Source organism: Homo sapiens, chromosome 3, assembly GCF_000001405.40.
Source record: "Homo sapiens chromosome 3, GRCh38.p14 Primary Assembly".
NCBI classification, from domain to species: domain Eukaryota; kingdom Metazoa; phylum Chordata; class Mammalia; order Primates; family Hominidae; genus Homo; species Homo sapiens.
Genome location: NC_000003.12, coordinates 184,905,877 through 184,926,709, shown reverse-complemented (window position 1 = coordinate 184,926,709; position 20,833 = coordinate 184,905,877). Strand labels below are relative to the sequence as shown.

The 20,833-nt window shown below is 39.6% G+C and overlaps 1 protein-coding gene across 25 annotated transcripts in view, besides 3 other annotated features; it reads right to left on the bottom strand.

Annotated features, from left to right (window-relative positions):
- VPS8 (VPS8 subunit of CORVET complex) overlaps positions 1–20,833 on the bottom strand; it is a 240,449-nt gene that overhangs the window by 125,905 nt on the left and 93,711 nt on the right. For 22 of the 25 annotated variants that reach the window (XM_047447824.1, XM_024453426.2, XM_047447823.1 and 19 more), the window contains 6 exons: positions 13,149–13,191; positions 11,657–11,729; positions 11,236–11,355; positions 6,512–6,583; positions 1,729–1,848; positions 60–116 (listed from right to left, as the gene is read on the bottom strand). In XM_047447824.1, coding sequence (XP_047303780.1) covers positions 60–116; positions 1,729–1,848; positions 6,512–6,583; positions 11,236–11,355; positions 11,657–11,729; positions 13,149–13,191 — 485 coding nt within the window. Of the gene's footprint in view, positions 1–59; positions 117–1,728; positions 1,849–4,226; positions 4,282–6,511; positions 6,584–11,235; positions 11,356–11,656; positions 11,730–13,148; positions 13,192–20,833 lie in introns of those variants that run through there. The other 3 variants (XM_017006041.3, XM_047447828.1, NR_146113.2) reach the window with 2 other exon arrangements.
- Positions 14,103–14,666: an enhancer, noted in NCBI's record as "NANOG-H3K27ac hESC enhancer chr3:184629832-184630395 (GRCh37/hg19 assembly coordinates)". NCBI's record gives its function as "activates a minimal SCP1, AML or CMV promoter by ChIP-STARR-seq in primed H9 embryonic stem cells {active_cell/tissue: H9 hESC(primed)}" and the evidence as "EXISTENCE:reporter gene assay evidence [ECO:0000049][PMID:30033119]".
- Positions 18,809–19,469: an enhancer, noted in NCBI's record as "NANOG-H3K27ac hESC enhancer chr3:184625029-184625689 (GRCh37/hg19 assembly coordinates)". NCBI's record gives its function as "activates a minimal SCP1, AML or CMV promoter by ChIP-STARR-seq in primed H9 embryonic stem cells {active_cell/tissue: H9 hESC(primed)}" and the evidence as "EXISTENCE:reporter gene assay evidence [ECO:0000049][PMID:30033119]".
- Positions 19,470–20,131: an enhancer, noted in NCBI's record as "NANOG-H3K27ac hESC enhancer chr3:184624367-184625028 (GRCh37/hg19 assembly coordinates)". NCBI's record gives its function as "activates a minimal SCP1, AML or CMV promoter by ChIP-STARR-seq in primed H9 embryonic stem cells {active_cell/tissue: H9 hESC(primed)}" and the evidence as "EXISTENCE:reporter gene assay evidence [ECO:0000049][PMID:30033119]".

The following is a 20,833-nucleotide window of genomic DNA, read 5'->3' as shown; positions in this document are numbered from 1 at the left end:
TCTTTCTGGCTTACTCTTCTTTCCTATTTTTTAGCAAAAAGAGTTCTAGTAGTTCATACCTGCTGTCTTTCAGAGTGTCGGGAGTCATCGTCAGGACTACAAAGGAATTCAAGGACCTGGCCGAAGAAAAAGTATTTTTTATTTGATATCAGCATCTAGACATTAATACTCTCATAATAAAAATAATAACTACCCTTTCAAATAACCAACTCATTCACACCCAGACATAACAAATACCACAGGTGTAGGCTACCTTCCCAACTGATTAACCCAGTACATGTAACATCAGGTGCAGGTGTGCTAACTATTTATTTATTTATTTATTTATTTATTGAGACAGAGTCTCACTCTGTCGCCCAGGCTGGAGTGCAGTGGCGCGATCTCAGTTCACTGCAAGCTCTGCCTCCCGGGTTCAAGTGATTCTCCTGCCTCAGCCTCCCGAGTAGCTGGGACTACAGGTGCCCGCCACCACGCCCGGCTCATTTTTTGTATTTTTTTAGTAGAGACGGGGTTCCACTGTGTTAGCCAGGATGGTCTCGATCTCCTGACCTCGTGATCCGCCCGCCTCGGCCTCCCAAAGTGTTGGGATTACAGGCGTGAGCCATCGCATCCGGCCTGGCAACATAACTCTAAGAGGCTAGGCGCAGTGGCTCACACCTGTAATCCCAGCACTTTGGGAGGCCGAGGAGGGCGGATCACTTGAGGTCAGGAGTTCAAGACCAGCCTGGCCAGCATGGTGAAACCCCATCTCTACAAAAAATACAAGAAATTAGCCGGGCGTGGTGGTATGTGCCTGTAATCCCAGCTACTTAGGAGGCTGAGGCAGGACAATCACTTGAACCCAGGAGGCCAAGGTTGCAGTGAGCCAAGATCGTGCTGCTGCACTCCAGCCTAGGCGACAGAGCCAGACTCTGTCTCAAAAAAAAAAAAAAAAAAATAGAGAGAGAAAAGAAACATAACTATAAGGCAGTGTTGTCAATATACCTTAACTTTAAGTTTCCTGATACGATACCATGGACCTAGCAAAGCATGGGCTTAGGAGTCAGGCCACTTGAATTTGGATACTAACTCTATTAAGACTTAATATTTACTGCTAATAATAACACACTAAGTATGACCTAACATGAATTACTTAATCTCTCCAGGCTTCAGTTTCCTCATCTATAAAAGGAGGATAACTGTCCCTATTTTAGAGCTGTTGAGAGGACTAAGGTAACATACACACAAAGCTTTGGAACAATGTCTGCCATTGTGAAGACTCAGAAAATGTTAGTCATTTTTAGTTACTTTCTCCAGACAAAAAGTATTTTCTTTGCCACCTGTGGAAAAATAGCTATTTAAGCGGGATTACAAGAAACCTTGAAAGTCATTTGTAAGTAAACTGAGATTGTACAAAAGTAATCTTTTCTCCAGGTGATGGTCATAATAGTCTTACTACCAGTGAGATGGGGGAGATTCTTAAATTGGGAAACTCTTGAGCAACGAATTCTAGGCAATTCAGAGCAACAGAATAATTGAGAGAACACAATCTCTGTAAACCAATCTCCACAAAACATACCCATACACCCATATACACATACCCCCCTAACTTAGATCCAAAACCTGAACAGGCCTCTCCTTGATAAGGTATTTACCCAATAGTCTGTCACATCAGGAAACAGTGTAATCCAGGGAACTGTGCGCAGTAAACAGGAAAAAACCTTTTAGTTTTCACTGCTAGACACTTACCTGATCAAAAAGTGTTCTGTTTACAAACAAGGTGTTGTCAGGCTTTGCAAGCTGCCGAGCAAGGAAGGTAAAGAGACATCCTACTTGTGAGGGGGTAAAGTCTGAATTCTCCACCATAACCTGAAGAGCAAAGGAGACCATTTATTCAATACACCATTTGGTTTGATGCAAAAAAAAAAAAATACAATTAGAAGACGGGATAGCCTCATGACTGAAGACGCGTAAAAAGATTCTTTTATTGACTGTGCAACAATTGAATTCAACGCCATTTAGAATAAGCACAACCACTTGCATACTCTGAGAGGAAAACATTTTAGTGATTTTTGGCCTATTTCTATCACAATTCGGATGAGACCTGAATTGATAAAGAGGTAGAGATGTAAAGTGTAGTATTTCAAAGAAATATTAATCACGTTTCCCTCAGTAATTCTTAGAGAATCCTTCTACAACTAATTTTTTTTTTTTGAGATGGAGTCTCGTTCTGTTGCCCAAGCTCGAGTGCAATGGCATGATCTTGGCTCACTGCAACCTCCACCTCTTGGGTTCAAGTGATTCTCCTGCCTCAGCCTCCCAAGTAGCTGGGACTACAGGCGTGTGCCACCGCACCTGGTTAATTTTTGTATTTTTAATAGAGACAAAGTTTCACCATGTTGGCCAGGCTGGTCTTGTACAATTAAATAAGCCCTACTAAAAATCTGTCCATCAACAAGGGAAGAAGAGAGCTGCTTTGAGGTTTGAGAGTAAGATAACTGAGAGTCAAGGTAGCCCAGAGAAGTCAGCTATCACACAGACCAATGAAGTGAACGGCTTCCGCTTTCTATTAAGCAGTTCCTTGAAGACATGGTTTTGTATAACAGGCTTTTAACAACACACACAGTTATCAAATCATAGTCATTCCTCTGGCTTTAACTCAGCTCTCATTTCCTAAGTACTCACTATGTGTAAGATGCTATAAGTGTCTTTAAGAAAATTAGGAACAAGAAGGAAAAGACATAACATCTTAAATAAAAGGCATAATATAATGACTGCTATTATAAGGGCACAAATGATTACAGAAGCACGGTGGAAAATTTTAATTCAACTGGTTAGAGAGGGAATTTGAAAAGAAATGAGAAGAATAGCTTTTAAGCTAAGTTTTAAAGCCCGTGCAGAAATTCTGACAAGGGGGAAATGTCAACAGAGAAGGCAAACCTGGCAAAGAGAAGAGTGAGAGCAAAATCATGGACACAGAAAAACACATTTGTTAAGGGGAACAACAATATTTATTAGAATGCAGCAGCATGCAGGAAGAGGGAAACTATAGATTAAAAGAGAAGATGAGGTCTCAAATGTCATCCTAAGGAATCTAGAATGTATTCTACAGAAAACTGGGGAGCTACTAAACGTGTTCCACCAGCGGAGTTCATCATGACCAGTATTGTGCTTAGGAAAATTATCCTGTCAGCAGTACATGGGATAAAATTAACAGAAGAAAGAAACAGAAGGCAGGGAGAGCAAGATACAAGTGACTGCAGGAGTCTAAGGGAGAGACTAAAGGGCTCTTAAGTAAGGCAGTGATCATGAAAATGGAAAGAGGCAGAGACAGGGGGGACAGGACAAGTATTCCTATGTGTGGAAACATGTGGTTAAAGGAACAATGAAACAGGACATTTTTTGAGCCTGATTGGCAGGTGGGATAATGATGCCATTAACAGAGAGAATGCAGAAGTGTAGGAGGGAAGACTATGTACTGTTTTGGGCGAGCTGAATTCATGGGGGCAACTCTACAACAAATCAGGGTATAGCACCCTCACACATCTATAAAAAGTTCCAAGTTCCCTCCTTCCACCCTCCATTCAAAGATAAAGTACCAGGTTTCTCCCATTATACAACATTCCCTAGCTTTTGACCTACTTCTTGCATCCCTCTCTTTTGCCCTTTCTGCTTTTAGTCCAGTAATCATCAATTGTCAAGTGCAAACTTATTATTAGAATATGTGGGTATTTCAAGTTATAAAAACTCTATCTCATATATATATATTCTTATATATATATGAGAATTCCCTCATCAACTCAGCAAGTGTCTAATTGGTTATTATCCTACAAAAGGCCATTTCCTTTCCATTTCTTCTCTTTAGCCTATTTCAGAGACCATGCTTACAAATTTTCTGGGCAATGTAAAAAGTCACAAATTAATAGATGTTTCCTCTGTCTGCAGCCATTCAGCACACATGATAACATCCACTGGCCTGTTCTCTGGTCACTGCCTATACTCCTCCTCTCACCGGATCCCTCACAAGTACACTTTAACCAATTAGCACATCTCTAGCACTAGAAATGAAAAAAATAATCTCAAAATCTCATTCTTCATTGACGCAAGATAAACACTATCAAGACAACATACAAGAATGGCAAGTCACCAACAGAAATAGTCAAATACTTACGGAGCTTTCTCTTCATTTGGATCACTCTTCCAACTTAGTATAGTTTTAAACTCAAATTACAATGTAACCAACTTACATTTATCTGACATCTACTGGGTTACAGGCATTGTGCTGGATCTGTTCTAGGCATGCTAAAACAATGACCAAAACAGTAATAATAATAATAATTAGAATAATCCTCACAGTCTCTACCTTCAGGAAGCTCAAGTCTACATAAGACAGATAAGAAAATATGTAAACATGACACTACAGTGTGCTAACTGAAGCATAAAGTGTTGCCTGAGCACAGACAAGGAGCAACTAATCAACCTAGATGTGTGGGAGAGCGTTCAAAACAGTTTCTCATAGATGGTATTTCAGTTAAGTCTTGGAAAATGATTAGGAACTTGCCAGTCAGTGAAAGGAAAAGGCATGACAGGCTGAAAGAAAACCCTTGCAAAGAACATAAACTATGAACACACCACAGAGAGTCTAGTGAATTCTAATAATTTAATATGGTTGAGGGTCCTAATACAAGGTGTGTGGGGTAGGATGACGAGATGGATGACAGAAGGGACCAGTTATAGAGACCTAGTCAGGACCAGAATATATAGAGGGATCTTGGATGTTCAACAGTTTAGACGGGTATGGCAGAAACTATTACTTATGCTCCAACATCTAGTCTTCCCTCCTAACTTAGAAACAGAACTTCTCAGGGCTGGGCACAGTGGCTCACACCTGTAATCCCGGCACTTTGGGAGGCTGAGGTGGGCGGATTACCTGAGGTCAGAAGTTCGAGACTAGCCTGGCCAACATGGTGAAAACCCCATCTTTACTAAAAATACAAAAATTAGCTGGGTGTGGTGGCAGGTGCCTCTAATCGCAGCTACTCTGGAGGCTGAGGCAGGAGAATTGCTTGAACCCAGGAGTAGTGAGCTGAGATCGTGCCACTGCACTCTAGCCTGGGCAACAGAGCAAGACTCAGTCTCAAAAAAAAAAGAAGAAGAAGAAAAACAGAACTCCTCATGTTTAGCTAAGCACATGGTTACAAGAATACAGACTATGTTTCTCCATCTCCCCCACCAACCAAGGGGCCTTACACGGTGTAAGCAGAATTGTATTACACAGTTTTTAAGAAGTTTCCTTAAGGAGAGGGAACATTTTCTTCATCTCTTTCTACATTCAGGCTGGCTAGAATGCAGAGGTAATAGCAGGAGCCGGAGCAGCCATTTTGGATGGAAAGATGGAAATCACGTACTAAGTGTAATACTAAGACAGAAGGAATCTGCGTCCCTGAGTTTATGAAGTCACTCTACTAAACCAGGTTGCCTACTTCCAGACTTCTATGAGAAAAATTAATTCCCATCACAATTAAACTATTGTTATTTTGAGTTTTCTCTCACAGCAGAACTCAATTCCAAATGACCAATAGGAAGCCATGGAAGAGTATTAGGTAGAAGAGAGGCAAGGTCACAAATTAAAGGAGGACAAGACTGGGAATAAATCTAGGTGAAAATTCTCCATACTAGCCAACTCAATCAAACTGGCATCATCTGACAGGTCAGCAATCCTATTTTCATAATCATCACTGCCTGTCTTACAAGGTTAAATTAATATTAATTGATAGCTCAAAAGAAATAACGTATATAAACATACAGAACTATTATAAATGTAGCATATTGATGTTATGCACAACTAGAAAACACTTTAATTCTGGTGTCTTGTCCAAAATAATTTAACATTAAAAGAAAGAAACCTCCACTTTACAGCCAAATGAACAAAAATAAAAACTCTAAGCTTTCAACTACAAGAGGAAACTGGCCTGCCTGAAGTCATGCAGATGGAAAAGCAAAGAACCTTTCCCTGCATTCTTCATTAGCAACAGCATCAATCTCAAGACAGCTTTCTCCTGAATCTAATTAGATTTATACTGGGATGATCATTTCTGTGTGCCTCAAATCATTCTTAAGTGTCATCCAGCATCTCAGTGCCATGATAGAATACGGCACTGCCTTAGCAACAAAGTGAAGTTGGCATGAGACACAGGAAGATTCTCCATATTAATTGTTTTCTCAAAGCACTCTGAAGTTAGTCTCTATTATTACACGTAATCATACTAACATAGCAATTATCACCATATGCCTTTCTCACAGTAGTGCCCTCTATTCCGGTCCCCAGTCTAAAGCCAACATACACTAAAAATTTTTTAAAATAAATAATTAGTACTTAATTCAGCTCTTGAGAACAAAGACACCGTAATAAAATTTTACGATATGATTCCAAGAAACCACTTAACAAGATTATTTTATAACCTGCTATAAAACAGCTCAACTATCTTAATATAAATATCAATATAAAGACATGTATTCTTTGAATACTTACTTTCAACAAAATATCCACAATTCGCTGTTGATATTCCACAGCTTGCTTGTCATTTTTAAAATCTTCAAAAGTCTAAAAGGGAGAAATAAATTTTTTAAAGTAATTATTATTTGCACATGTAGAAGAAAACAAGTTATTAAATTCTTGTTAATAAAATCCAAGTAATTTCTCAAATAAGATAACTATTCCTCATTAGGTTTTGTCTTATACACCTTGCGTGACATTATTTTTAGTGAGTCAAGTAGAAAGCTATGGCATTTAATATTGCACAGTATTCTGAGACTTAAAAAAAAATCACAAATAAGAATTTGAGAAAGGAAGGAAGGCAAAGTCCATAAGCAAAAAAAAGAGAGCGATAACACTAATGAAAAGAGGTAATTTGGGAGCAAAGGTTTGAGAACAGAAGGATAAAATACTACATGTTCAGCCATCATTCAGTCTGTTATTTGGAAATAACTAAGACACATTTTATTAACTGTCATAAAAATAACTTTCACAATTTCCATGACAATTAAGAAAAATGATGTCCAAAGATAGGCATTTTTAAAAATTATTATGGTAAAAAAAAGGTTAAAATTCTCAAGCCTACTTACTATTCTCAAAACACTGCCAACTATAGCAACTTTTATTTTATGTAACTGATCAAGCACAGCCAAAATACTTTGAACATAACATGCATCAAAATAAATTACAATACCAGATTCTGTTTGTCAGTATATGTAACAGCGTGTCACAAAAAACCTAGTACATATAGTATATATGAAGAAATTGAGATTATGTCCACTATCAAAAAATGGAAATGAAAATTTTTACTGAACAATAAGAATGATGAAAGACTTAAAGATAGTTCCTATGGTTTTCACTTAGTTCATTTGATTCTGAGAAATGTTTAAATCCACGTAGCACTAATTTATTGCTATTTCCTTGAAACAAGAAAATGAACTACGCATTGTCCCAGTAGACTAAAAATAAAAAGGAATTTCACAGCCATGAACTTTCAAGACTACATCATACTCCTGTTCAAACAAGAGTAGTTACTGTTCTTTAAATGGGCCTGAATTTCCCCCAATTTCTCCAAAGTACCTTTGCTCATGCTGTTCTCTTATTAGTATGTCCTTCCCTTCCTTCTCCTGTTTGATGCACAGAAAAACAAAATATTCTCAACTTTTTTTTTCAACTAGTCTGCTTTACTGCCAGGTAGCTGGGAAATGCTGAAACGAGTTACCAAGGAGACTGTAGGAACTCTTACTGTGGAAGGCTCAATAGAAGTTATTCTGATGTATATGTGGGTTGAATATGACCCTGACTGAAGATAGGAAGACGGACTACAAAGTCTCTCTCAGTTCTATCTTCGGATTCATGAGAACAACAAACACACACATACATAGACACCCATCCCTGCCTGCTAAAGTGAGATGATACTCTGCAGGTACAAAGGGAAGGTACCATCCACTAATATAAATGCTATTCAACTAAAATACAAAACCATGGAGAATTAACACATGCATTTAAAAACTACGGCAGTGACAGCAAGTAAAAAAGAATTTCCTTCACCATTTTCCTTTTGGCAGCAAGTAGTCACTCCTTTGAAACAGATATTGGTAGTTTGATTCTGTGAACATAATTAAGTGGTGATATACCACAGTGTGAATATTATGATATGCTTAATGACTATTTTGGTGGTAGTTAACATCTGCCACCAAAATGGCACATTGTTAGACCATTATCATCCCACAAAAATGCTTCTAATTATGGATGTTTACTAGAGGAATAATATGCAAAGATGTACTAATGGAGAATTACAGTTTCTGAAGTACAAAGGTAGACCTAAAACCCAAGTTGTAAGTCATCTGTGAATTTGGACATAAAAAAATATTTTTGTAGTACTTCAAAAATTACTATGGGGCTTCTGTAAAATAATGATAGCAAGCTACCTCCTAATCCACGGGTCAACATTCTCTGTAAAGAGCCAGACAGTAAATATTTCTGGCTTTGGGGCTACATGTGGCCTCCATCACCGATTCTTCTTTATGAGGCTGATTTGCCTCTTAAAATATCTTACACTTCTTGGTATCCCTACTGCCACTGCCCTAATTTAAGCTACCATTATCTTCTATTTAGATTACTACAAAATTTACTAACAGATCTCCCTGCCTCCATCTTATCTCATTTCAATCCATTTGTATGCCCCCAAATTCATGTTGAGAACCTAATCACCAATGTGATGGTTATTAGGAGGGAAGCCTCTCGGACGTGTGCCTAAACCAACAGAATCTGCCAGCACCTTGATCTTGGACTTCCCAGACTCTAGAACTGTGAGAAATACATTTCTGTTGTTTATGAGCCACCCAATCTATGCATTTTGTTATAGCAGCTCAAACAGACTAAGACACAAGAGTCAAAGGGAATCTTTTTAAAGTATAAAATTAATATATTTTTCTTCCTAAAAGGCTTCAATTGCTACCAACTGCTGTAGTATAAAGTCCAAATTTTGGCCAGGTGTGGTGGCTTACGCCTCTAATCCCAGCACTTTGGGAGGCCAAGGTGGGCAGATCACCTGAGGTCAGGAGTTCGAGACCAGCTTGGCCAACATGGTGCAAAAATTAGCCAAGTGTGGTGATGTGTGCTATAATCCTGGCTACTGGGGAGGCTGAGGCAGGAAAATCACTTGAACCCAGGAGGTGGAGGTTGCAGTGAGCCGAGATCATGCCATTGCACTCCAGCCTGGGAGACAAGAGCAAAGCTCCGTCTCAAAAATGAAGGAAGGAGGGAAGGAGGGAAGGAAGGAAGGAAGAAAAGAAGGAAGTCCAAATTTTTTATTGCAGGTTGCAAGACTCGGTATCTGCCTACCTCTCTGGATTTGTTTCTCTCTGTACTTCTCCTTATACTTAAAAGATGCAGCTATATTGAATTTTTTTCAATTACTTGAATACTCATTGCTCTGTCTCATTTCCAGGCCTTTCTATATATTCAGCCCTCTGCCTACAATGTTTTTTCCTACCCTTCCCCTGACTAACTTCTATTAATGTTTTGAGACTCAGTGTAGACACCATTTTATCTCAGAAACATTCCCTAACGTTCCAGTAGGTGCCCCTCATTAAGTGTTCCTATAGCATCCTGTACTTCCCCTAAGGCATATATTACACTGTGCTATAATTATTTATCTACAAGTCTGGATCCTCTTCCTCCACAAAAGCAGTTTATATCTTGTTGCCAAGGCTGCATCCCCTAATGAAGATAATACATGGGATATACCATGCACTCAAATATTTGTCAACCAAATCAGAGACTGTTTTGAAGCCTTACTATAAATCCCAGTGTCATAATTCAGACATCAGCATAATTCCAAATGTGTTTCGGTGCTACCACAGCCCTTAAAGAAATAAAAATTACATTAAGTTCTTTGTTTTCTCTAACACTCTTTCTAAACCTCCTCCTCCATCACTTCTTGTTTCTTTTTTTCCTATGTGCCAGTCACCAACTACCCTTATGTTCCCCTCTGGACATTTAAAATTTCCTAAACCAACTAGATCTGACTTCTAAGTTTCTCCCTCTCTTCTTTCTATGCAATTAAAGTTACTACTTCTGATGTCAGATTTTCAAATTAAACCAATTCAAATGATAATAACCTTCTCATGAGTACTTACCTTTTTAAAATAATTTAATAGTTTATTATATTTATATAATTCAATTTATAAAAGTAGTATAGGCTTATTAGGGAAATTTGCTTCATCTCACAGAGTTAATCACTATTAATATTTAGGTGTATTTCCGTCCTGTCTTTTTTTCTCCAAATACTGTGTATATGTGTGTTTTGCATATTCGTGTGCCTGCTGCTTTCGCTAAACACTATAAGCATTTTCCATAATATCAAAAGCTTTTCAAAAAACAACAATACCATTTAATTCAGAAGATACATTATATCTAATTACTCCCCAGGGGCATTTGCACAGACAACCTGGCTCACCCAAATTGTACATGTTCATCTCTAATTGAACACGTATAAAGGTGTTTTTTCAGCAAAAAGCTTCCGCGTTCCATTTCGACTCCAGCTATTTTTACTATCATCACTACCGCATCTCCTTCAGCATCTCCCTTCCATGTTTTGTATGCCAGGCCCTAAGTTCTCCTTAACTTTTTGATGAGTGTGTGTTAGAGAGAGAGGAAGGAAGAGAGAGAAGGAGAGAGGGAGGAAAGGAGGGAGGGATAGAAGGAGGGAGGGAGGAAGAGGGAAAGGGAGGAAGGCAAGGAACTAGAGAAAAAAATGGGTAGCACAACAAAATTAAACATTTGAAACCCTGACTTACTGCTAGTGCATAAAAACTGTACCTGCATAAGAATTATGGGATTTTTCTATTAAAAAATATTGCTTTTTCTTTTTTCTTTTTTTGAGACAGAGTCTCTCTCTGTAGCCCACGCTGGAGTGCAAAGGCACAATCTCAGCTCACTGCACCCTCCGGCTCCCAGGCTCAAGCAATTCTCCTGCCTCAGCCTCCCAAGTAGCTGGGATTACAGGCACCTGCCACCATGCCTGGCTAAGTTTTGTATTTTTAGTAGAGATGGGGTTTTGCCATGTTGACCAGGCTGGTCTGGAACTCCTGACCTCAGATGATCTGCCTGCCTCGGCCAAAGTGTTGGGATTACAGGGGTGAGCCACCACACCCCGCCAAAAAATTATTGCTCTGTCTTCTTTGAAAACACCTTAAAATAATACTGTCTCTTACCAGTGCCAATACATTTAGAAATTCTCTTGTGTCAAAATGTAGCAAAGTCCGAATGTAAGGATAGATTTCTTCCTCAGGAGAAGCCTCTGCTGAATGCAGGCGAATTAGAAATTCAAAAACCTGCAAGTTGGGAAAAAAATGTTGATTATTTTCTCACCTGACAAAGTATCTTGCTGAAGCAGTGATTCTCATTTGGATAAAATAAAGGCAGGCTGAATTCAGTTTAAATTGCTACTGTATTTTAAGTTCTCTCTTAAATTCTTTCTCAGCTCTAATTATTGACTTTAGTAATAGTGTGTAAGCTCTCTCCTGCAACAGGTGATAGCTCCTGACCCACGTGTAAGCCTCAACTGCAATTTGTCTTCAGTGCGTCTTAACCAGAGACGGAGAACAGTCAAAAGGCTATAAAAATAGTACCAACCTGGTTTTTAACCAAGGGAACCAGATCTTCAGGGATGTCACCAAGGGGATAGGCACGACCTGCTAGACAACAGCTAGAAGAAAAGAATGAGAATGGATATGGTGACTTGTAAAGGGGATAACTTTCAAGCGAGTAACACATTGTTTCTCAAACTTGAGATACTAGTTCAATTTGTAAGTAGGCTCAGCTTTTGTCAGTTAGGTCAAGTTCCAAAGCAGGTCAAGATGACACCCAGTTTAGAAAATGTGGGCAACAGATATGGAGGTGAGGTAATGCATCCTGTGACTGAGTGGGAGCTTTCGTTTCTTCGTATGTTTCCTAAGAAAAACCAATGCTCTATTAAAGGGGCAAGAAGGAATGAGGACAGACTTCTAAAGGCCTCATACCCAGCGTCTAGAAAGATGGTGCCTAATGGCACCATTATACTATGATTAATCTGTTAAAAGCCTGGCGTTCTCAGATACTGTTAAACCAGGGTCTCTAAGAATGGTATTAAAGATGGGGAAAGAGGCTAAATGTCTGGGAAGTCTGCGACAGGACAAACCGGGGAGAATTAGAATCTGAAGAGAAATTCACCCTACAGTTTTACCTCCAAATCAAACCTTCTTCATGGCTAAAGACTTGCCTTGTGAGCTGAATTACTACAAATGTCATCTGAACATGTCTACCTTTTTTCTATTTTTTGGCGGGGAGGGAGCAAATTTTAAAGCTTTTTAAACTACAATTTTCAATGTTAGACTGGAGACAACTGGACACCAGCATATCCTGAAGAGTTTAAGGTACAGATGATAAAGCACTAAGTAAATGCGTATTTCTTTCACACTAAAGAATCAATGTAACAAGTGTGAAACAGGTTTCAAAGTTAACTCTGACATTAGATATGAGCTCAAATGATGTTCTGCTAGGTTCTGCCACCTTCCTGACAAATAGTCATCTACCGAAAAGTTCTATCAGGGCTCAATTCTGAGCTGGCATAGTCTACTAGAATGAACCCTGCTCCAGGAGTCAGGAGATAAACATTCTAGTTTTACCTCTGTTACTAACTTTTTCATGATTTGAACAAGTCTCTTGCCCTCATATGTAGAAACAATACACATCCCACATAGGTGTCACTAGTAAACATAAAAAACCCGGGTTTCAACACCAAGGTTTCTCAACCTCAGCCCTACTGATACTTCGGGCCAGATAATTCTTTGTTGTGCTATTCTGTGCATTGTATGATGCTTAGCAGCATCCTTGGCCTCTGCCCACTAGATACCAGTAGCATCCCTTCTCTAGCCCCAGTTATAACAACCAAAAATGTCTCTAGATGTTGCCAAACATCTCCAGGGAGTAGGAGACAAAATTATCCATGGTTGAGAACCACTGCTCTACATAAAAGAATTGTGCAAAATTAAAAGTACTATATAGATAAGAGATCATAGTATCTCTAAAAATATAGGAAAAATATAGAAAGAACATACATGCAGATGAATAAATAAAACAATCTTACCTAATATATACAAGGAGCTTATTGCCCATAACAACTTGTTCATCTAAAATAGAAAGAGAAGTATCTTCAGCAATTTTCTCTCAAAACCTTTTCAGAAAAATAATCTTTATGTAGAAACAAAAAAATAAAACTTGGCATTTAAGGTGAGGTAAGTATATTCCCAAATAACAGGAAGTTAAGACCACTTTATTGGCTTTTGAGTTTCCATTAGATTCTTGTCACAGACACAAGAGCAATATAAGCTACCCTAAGATAGATGTAGAAGGAATAGATCTGAGGGTAGAGATCTATGTACTGTTGGCCTAACTAACTTGGGGCCAAGGGAAGGTGTAGGGCAGGCAATGAGCTGATGAACTGTACATCAGAACCAATTAATTAGTGTTAAGGCATAACCATACTGTCTTCTTATTTGTAATATGGACTTTTACCACCTACCGTGCTCTAGGGCTGAAAAGGCCATTGTTCCCAAATGTTTAAAGTAACAGAACTAAACTAAATGATCTTTAGGGCCCTTTCTATTCTAAGTTACATAAAAAATGTAAGATTCTGCCATCTTGTGATACGAGCCTGTTCTCTGACTAAAGAAATCAGAAAGATAATATGACAAAGTTTGAAGCCAAGGGGTCAAGGGCAATACAGAATGGAGCAGGAGCATCAACAGGGTGAAGTGACTGGGAACGCCCACAGCGCACAGATGATGGGAATCTGTGGTTGGCAATAATGAAGAGCTGGAGTTTCTATTTTTGGTAATATGAATACTGGACATAATGCAAGCAAGTGTATGCCTTTATCAGTAATCTTTCACAAATACTCAAAATCTGTGATGTTGTTAGTGCATGTAAACATGAATTGCTCCAAATGTATGAATAACTACATTTTGCTTCCATTCCAAATGTCATTTGATTCACATCAACTCGTATGACACATGGTGATCACCACCTGCATGGCATAACAACTTAATGTTTATTGGCTAACTAGATAAACACGAGTGAAAGAAAAATAAAGTCTCAGAATCCCAAACTCACTATGCCAAAAGGAAAAGTTAAGCTTCGGAATTGAGTCATGTAAAAAACAAAAACAAAAACAAACAAACGAAAATCCTGGCTACCTTTGGTTCCTAAACAGATTGCTGCAAGATAGAAGGCCATGTCTCCCCAGCTGGCCTCCCTCACCCTGACAATGTAAATTAATAGCTGATCTTCACAGGCACTGGACAAAGATAAGACTATAAATTATTCCTCAGCCCATCCCAAGACAAATGCATATTTGACTTCTTCCTCTATTCTATGTTTACTTTACTGTTGTACCTGAGCGAGTTAGAAAAACGCCACACTTTGAGACGAATTAAGAGTCTTTTATTCAGCCGGCAGCCAAAGAGAAGGCTAACGCTCAAAATTCTCTCGGCCCCGAGGAAGGGGCTTAACTTTTATACTTTGGTTTAGAAAGGGGAGGGGAGCTTAAATGCAACAACTCTTCAGAAGTAAAAACATGCAAAAAAATTAAAAGGACGAATGGTTACAGGGAAACAAACAATTTAAAAGACAAATGGTTACAAAAAAAGCAAGGTACCAGGTGCGGGGCTCTAAATCCTTCATAAGAGTTAGATATGGGCACTACGCCGGACACAAACTGAAGGCTTTATGGTGTTATCTTTTGAGCAAAATGCTGGGAACTTCATACATGGTTTGTTCCAGTACCTTATCAGTTAACTGGACTCCTTTGATATGTTGACAATCTGCTTACACAGGTTAACTCCTTGAGGAAAGAGGGGTGGGTAAGGAGTCCTTAATGTCTTGTAAATCAAGGGGGCCAGATGGAGCTCGTCCAGCTTTCTCAGCTAAGGGAGTCTATTCATGTGGAAACAAGGCTAGGTGATTACGAGAGCAAAAGGGAGAGTCTAAAAACAGGGTTAGTGAAAACAAGGTTGGGCATTACATTACCTTCTGTAAAATGCAGATTCACTGAGCATGAGACAAATGCATAATTAACTGTTCCTCTTTTCCCTCTTGCCCACTCTCTACCCTTTAAACACTGAAGTTCTCAAAACCCTCTGTGGAAAAAGCACAGGCCGAAGATCCTACTGTAGCTTGTGTATGTTTCTCCTAGTGTGTCCTCAACCTTGGTAAAATAAACCTCTAAATTGAGACTTGTCTCAGACATTTTTTGATTTACACACCTTTCTTGCTGGAAATCTCAGGTAGAATATATCTAGCTCACGATATTCCTAGAGAGAGCTAAACGTATTTGTTTAACTTACCCATCTCCATTATTCCACTACTGTGAGCCTCTTATGAGCAGAGTATGTGACATTTCTGTATTTCTAGCATCGAGAATAGTGTCTGGCACATACGTAGGTAATTAGTAAATTGTATGCTGAAATGAACTGACACAGTACTTAATTTTCTACAACCTTTCTCTTCCCAATATCTTCTTTTAGACAACTTTTCATTATAAAAGATCATCAATTCCATTCAGACGTTTTAATTCTCCACTTTCATTTCTGGTAGAGAGAGATGTGAAAGGCAATTTTCAACTTTGCCTCAAAAAGATTAGGTTCAGGGCTACTATTAGGTACGGGAAGTTAAGACTATAAAATGACTCATTCACCCCCACCCTTACAGTAAAAAATTATAAAACCTGGACATCATACAGAAAGTAACTACCTGAAGATACCAAAGAGTTGCTGAGGACTGAGCAGAAGCATGAACTGGTGAGGACTTCAGCCTCATTTGGGGGAGGAGAGACAGGCAGCCACACTGTCCTTCCTTCTGGCCTGTCCCTGAGGTAAGCGTACTCTGAACTGCACACATAGGGAGGCATGGAAAGGCCCCTAACCTTCCTGGCACGGCGGCGATCAGAAAAGTGAGGTCAGGGAACCACGAATATGGAATAGAGTTGGGGAATCCCAAAAGGTAAAGAATCAAAGAAGAGATCCCCAAATTGTCTGCCCACATCTGAAGTGGATCCATTTACTAAACCACCATGCAGGAAAAAGACTCAAAGCAGCTTAGTCAAAGACAAAAAACCAGGATCAAGAATGGAGCTCCCTCTCTGAAGGTTTTGGAGTGAGGAGAGAAACACGTGGGCTCTGGTGGAGAGTTCCTTCACTTGGAGAAGCGGAGATAGGGAGTTAGCTGTACAAGTAAATTACCACCTCTGTGGCTTTTGGCCTGGGTCTAAGTGCTGTCTGTGTGGCAAGCACAGCAGAGCTGGAGGCCATCACAGAAAAAGCAACAATCTTTCTGGCAAGGGAAACGTGAAGTTAAGAAACATAAACAGTTTAAAAATTAGGAGAATCTTGCCGGGAGGCCAAGGCAGAAGTATGGCGTGAACCCGGGAGGCGGAGCTTGCAGTGAGCCGAGATAGCGCCACTGCAGTAACGGCCTGGGCGAAAGAATGAGACTCCGTCTCAAAAAAAAAAAAAAAAAAAAAATAGGAGAATCTTGCAAAGAAAAGAGAAAGAGGAAGGATCCCCAAACTCTGTCTACCCTCATCACTGTCTGACCCCTGACCCATGCGTGTGGATCAGAATCAAAGCAGATCAGCCATCCAGAAATGACCTGAGGAGAGACTGGAGCTGCACAAGAGAGAGGGTTTGCAATTCAAGCCCACCAAGAAAATTATCTGATAAAACAATGGAAGACGATACTCAGTGGTGAAAAATACCTGATAGAGCAATGGAGAAAAATACTCACTGGAGAACCCATACTCTCCACACAATGTAACATTCATAATATCCAGATACAGTCCAAAATTATCCAGCATGAAAAACCAAGAAAATAAAATATATTCTTCTTAAAAGTGAATCAAGTCCAATCCTGGGATGAACAAAATGTGAGAACAAGCAAAGATTTTAAAGCGCTATTATAATTATCCTTAAGCAAAAGAAATGGTTTCAGTGCATGAAAATTTCAACAGATAAATGAAGAGTTGCAGCAGAGAAAACAAAAACAAGAACTAAATGGAAATTAGACCGAAAAATATAACTGTTGAAAATAAAAAAATCACTGAGCAGATTTAACAGTTGAATTGACATGAAGGAGTTAAGAGCAAATGAATATGAAGGAAGAGCAATAGAAATCATCCAAGGTGAAAAACAGAGAGGAAAAAAGACCAAACAGAACACAATCAAAACCCAGAGAAACAGACCTCAGAAATGGTGGAGTAAGGACCTGCAAAAATCTCCTCCATAAAAGCAATACAAACACTGGTAAAAACTGTCAAATTGGCTTTTTCAGAACTCTTGAAATTAACTAAAAATTTGCCATAATCTGAGGAATGTTTATTCAGAAAAATGCCTGAATCTCAGGAAGACCAGTGAATTTTAGAGTTTTAACTTTATGTATTGCCATCTCCCTTTCTCCAGCTCTACTGTAGTTTTGAAAACCAATATTGCCTTACAACTTGGGCAGCTGTGAAAACAAGTGGAACACAGTGGGTTTGATAGCGACAGGGGGTAGTCAAATGCCTAGGCAGATAGGGGCGGGTCCCTTGTGAAACCCCACCTTCAAGCCAAAAAACAGCCTGAAGGCTGAAAGACCAGATTACTGGTCCGGATGAAACCTGCAACTTGGAGTGAGAACTTCTGTTTCTGTCTGCACATCCTTTCCCAGTTGATTCTTTCTGAATAATGCCTTTTAACCAATCGAATGTTGCCTTTTCCAATACTGCTACAGCCTGCCCCTCCCCTATTCTGAGCCCACAGTAGCCCCAGACTCACCACATTGAGGGGACTTGCCCGCCTTCGGGTAGTGGGACCACCCCTGTATCCCCTCTCTGCAGAAAGCCATTTCATCATTCAATAAAACTCCCTACCTTGCTCACTCTTCAATTGCCAGCATATCCTCATTCTTCTTGGATGCTGGACAAGAGCTGGGGACCCACCGAGTGTGGGTACCTAGAAAGGCTGTTACACTGGCCTTTTGCCTTCGCTGGCAAAGGGCAGCCACCCCACACAATGGGGCCAGAGGCCGACCGAGCTGCTAACATGCTGCCGTCCATCAGGCTATGGATGGTAAAACTAAAAGAGCTAATTAGCACACTAACACCCCATCTGGGGCTTCAGGGTCGTGGGCACCCTTGTCTGGGTGCTGCTGCATTCCCCTCAAGACCGCGGGCCTCACATGGAGCTTGTTCCTGTGTCAGCACTTGGAGTGGCCAGCCGGATCCCACACTGGCTTGCTCATGTGCTCCCTCCCACAAGGGGCTGAGCGCAGCAGGCCAAGAAGACAGGGTGCCCCTGCTGCAAGTCCGGCAAAGGACCGAGAGAAAATTCCTGTGTCAATCTTGTAGCCCCTCAAATGCCCCATCCTCAGCGAATTGTCACTATTTGACCTATCTGGCAGCTTACTTAAAAGCTCCATTTTCAGGGCTTATTTTTTTTTGCCCTAACTCAGAACTCACTCTGTGGGAACAGCACTATCCCCAGGACATTTGTGAAAACAGTCAGTGCCATTGTTCAACATTACAGCAGGCTGAGACAGTGTTAGTAGTTGGGACTAATAAGTGGTGCACCAAAAACCTTAAAAGGAAAAACTGGAGAACGGGAGATCTGCGGGGCTTTTGAAAAGTTCTAACATATTCCTGGAGTGCTAAAAGGATGTATGCATATAAAGGGCTTTGCACATACCCAGGGAAATTCTCAAAGGCCCTAATTTATAACCCATGGCTGACTTTGCAGCTCTGTGCAAGCAGGAAGGGAAGGCTACAGCAGAATTCTAAACTGCCTGCCAAAGAACTGAAAATTCCAACATAAAATGAAGCAGGAACTGATAGGATTAAAGTGAGAGAGGGACAATTCAACAATATTTGGAGACTTCAATATCCCACTTTCAAAAACAGAACAATCAGTAGAAGATGAACAGGAAAAAGAAGACTTGAACAAAACTATAAGCAAACTAGACCTAACAGACAAAGAAGCCCAGAGAATTTCACCCCAAAATATGGCACCATGGTGTGCAGATTATTTTAAATTAAGGGTCACTGAAGGTCAGCATATGCTGGGAGAGACTTGTGAAAGGAAAATAAATCTTGGGACCCCAAAATCACTAAGCCAAAGGGAAAACTCAAGCTGGGAACTAATGTCAGGCAAACCTGATCCCATTCTATCCCTAAATAAGATAGCTACAAAGATAAGAAGCTACATACCTCCCTCACAATTTACCCACAAGGAAATTCCTTGTGGACAAAGGACAGACAGAACTCAAAGTCATCCCTCTGAGGCTCACTGGAGACAAATGCATATCTAATTTCTTTCTCTGCCCTATTGTTTATGTAAAAATGCAGATTCACTGAGCCAGACTAAATTGTGTATTCAGTGGAAGGTTGATCAAGGACTCAAAAGAATGCAACCTTTTGTCTCTTACCTACTTCTAACCTGGAAGCCCTCACTTCAAGCTGTCCTGCCTTACCAGACTGAACCAATGCACATCTTAAACGTATTGATCGATGTCTCATGTCTTCCTAAAATGTATAAAAGCAAGCTGCCCATCTTGGACACATGTCGTTAGGACCCTGAGGCTGTGTCACGGGTGCATCCTTAACCTTGGCAAGATAAACTTTCTAAACAGACTGAGACCTGGCCTAACAGGTCTCAGATAACTTTAACAGGTTAAAGATATTTTGAGTTAACAGGCTCTACTCTGATATTATGTGATCTACCTTAAGACCGGACCCTCCAAAGAAAACACAATTAATTGCCTTCCATCCCTTCCCTGAAATCTCTTTATCTACTGAGGAAAAGAAACCTAAGGAATACAATCGCACCTCTACAAGCTTTTTCACAAGATAATGTCTGCCTCTGAACAATGATCCAAATATTATTGGATCATTCAAATTCCAAAGAGGATCCTTTACAAGTTAACTTCTGTCTCCCAGGTCCATTTGTTCCCCTAATAATCATTTACGACCCCTTAAAAGAACTGCCTATTTCCCCATCTCCCTTCTACCCCTAAGAAAGGATGCATCTGTACCTCATTGGGTTTTTGAGTAATCATAGTCCTTCAATTACCCCATATTTATGCATGTTAACAAAAGTATATGCCTTTTTCTACCCATTAATCTATTATTAATTCATTTCGACAGACTTACACTCAAAGTTTCAGAGGGAAAGCTTAAATTTCCCTACACGGATATCTATGTAACACTCTATCCAACAACAGAAGACATTCAACACATTACTATGCTCAAGTGCACATAGAACATTCTAGAGAACAGACCTTACATGAGGTCATAAAATAAGTCTCAACAAATTCTTAAAAGATATAAATCATAAAAAGTACATTTTCTGACCACAAAAAAAAGTAGAAATCAATATGAGAAGGAAATGTGAGAAATTCACACATAGGTGGAAATTAGACAACACACTTCTAAATCACTAGTATCACAAGAGAAATTACAGAATACTTTAGGATGAATGAAAATGAAGACAACATATCAAAACATATTGCTTTGAGGAATATTTGTAGCTGTAAACACTTAATTTTAAAAAAAACACAAAAACAAAGACCTCAAATCAACAATATGAGCTTCTACCTGAAAAGCTGAGCTTCCAAAGGGTGTGAAAAATTCTAAGGCTTCTGATACATATATTGTGCTAAACTGCTCTATAGAAAGATTGAACCAATTTTACTCCCACTAGCAGTTTATGATAGTGTTCAATTCCCTAAGAAATAAGTATGATTTTT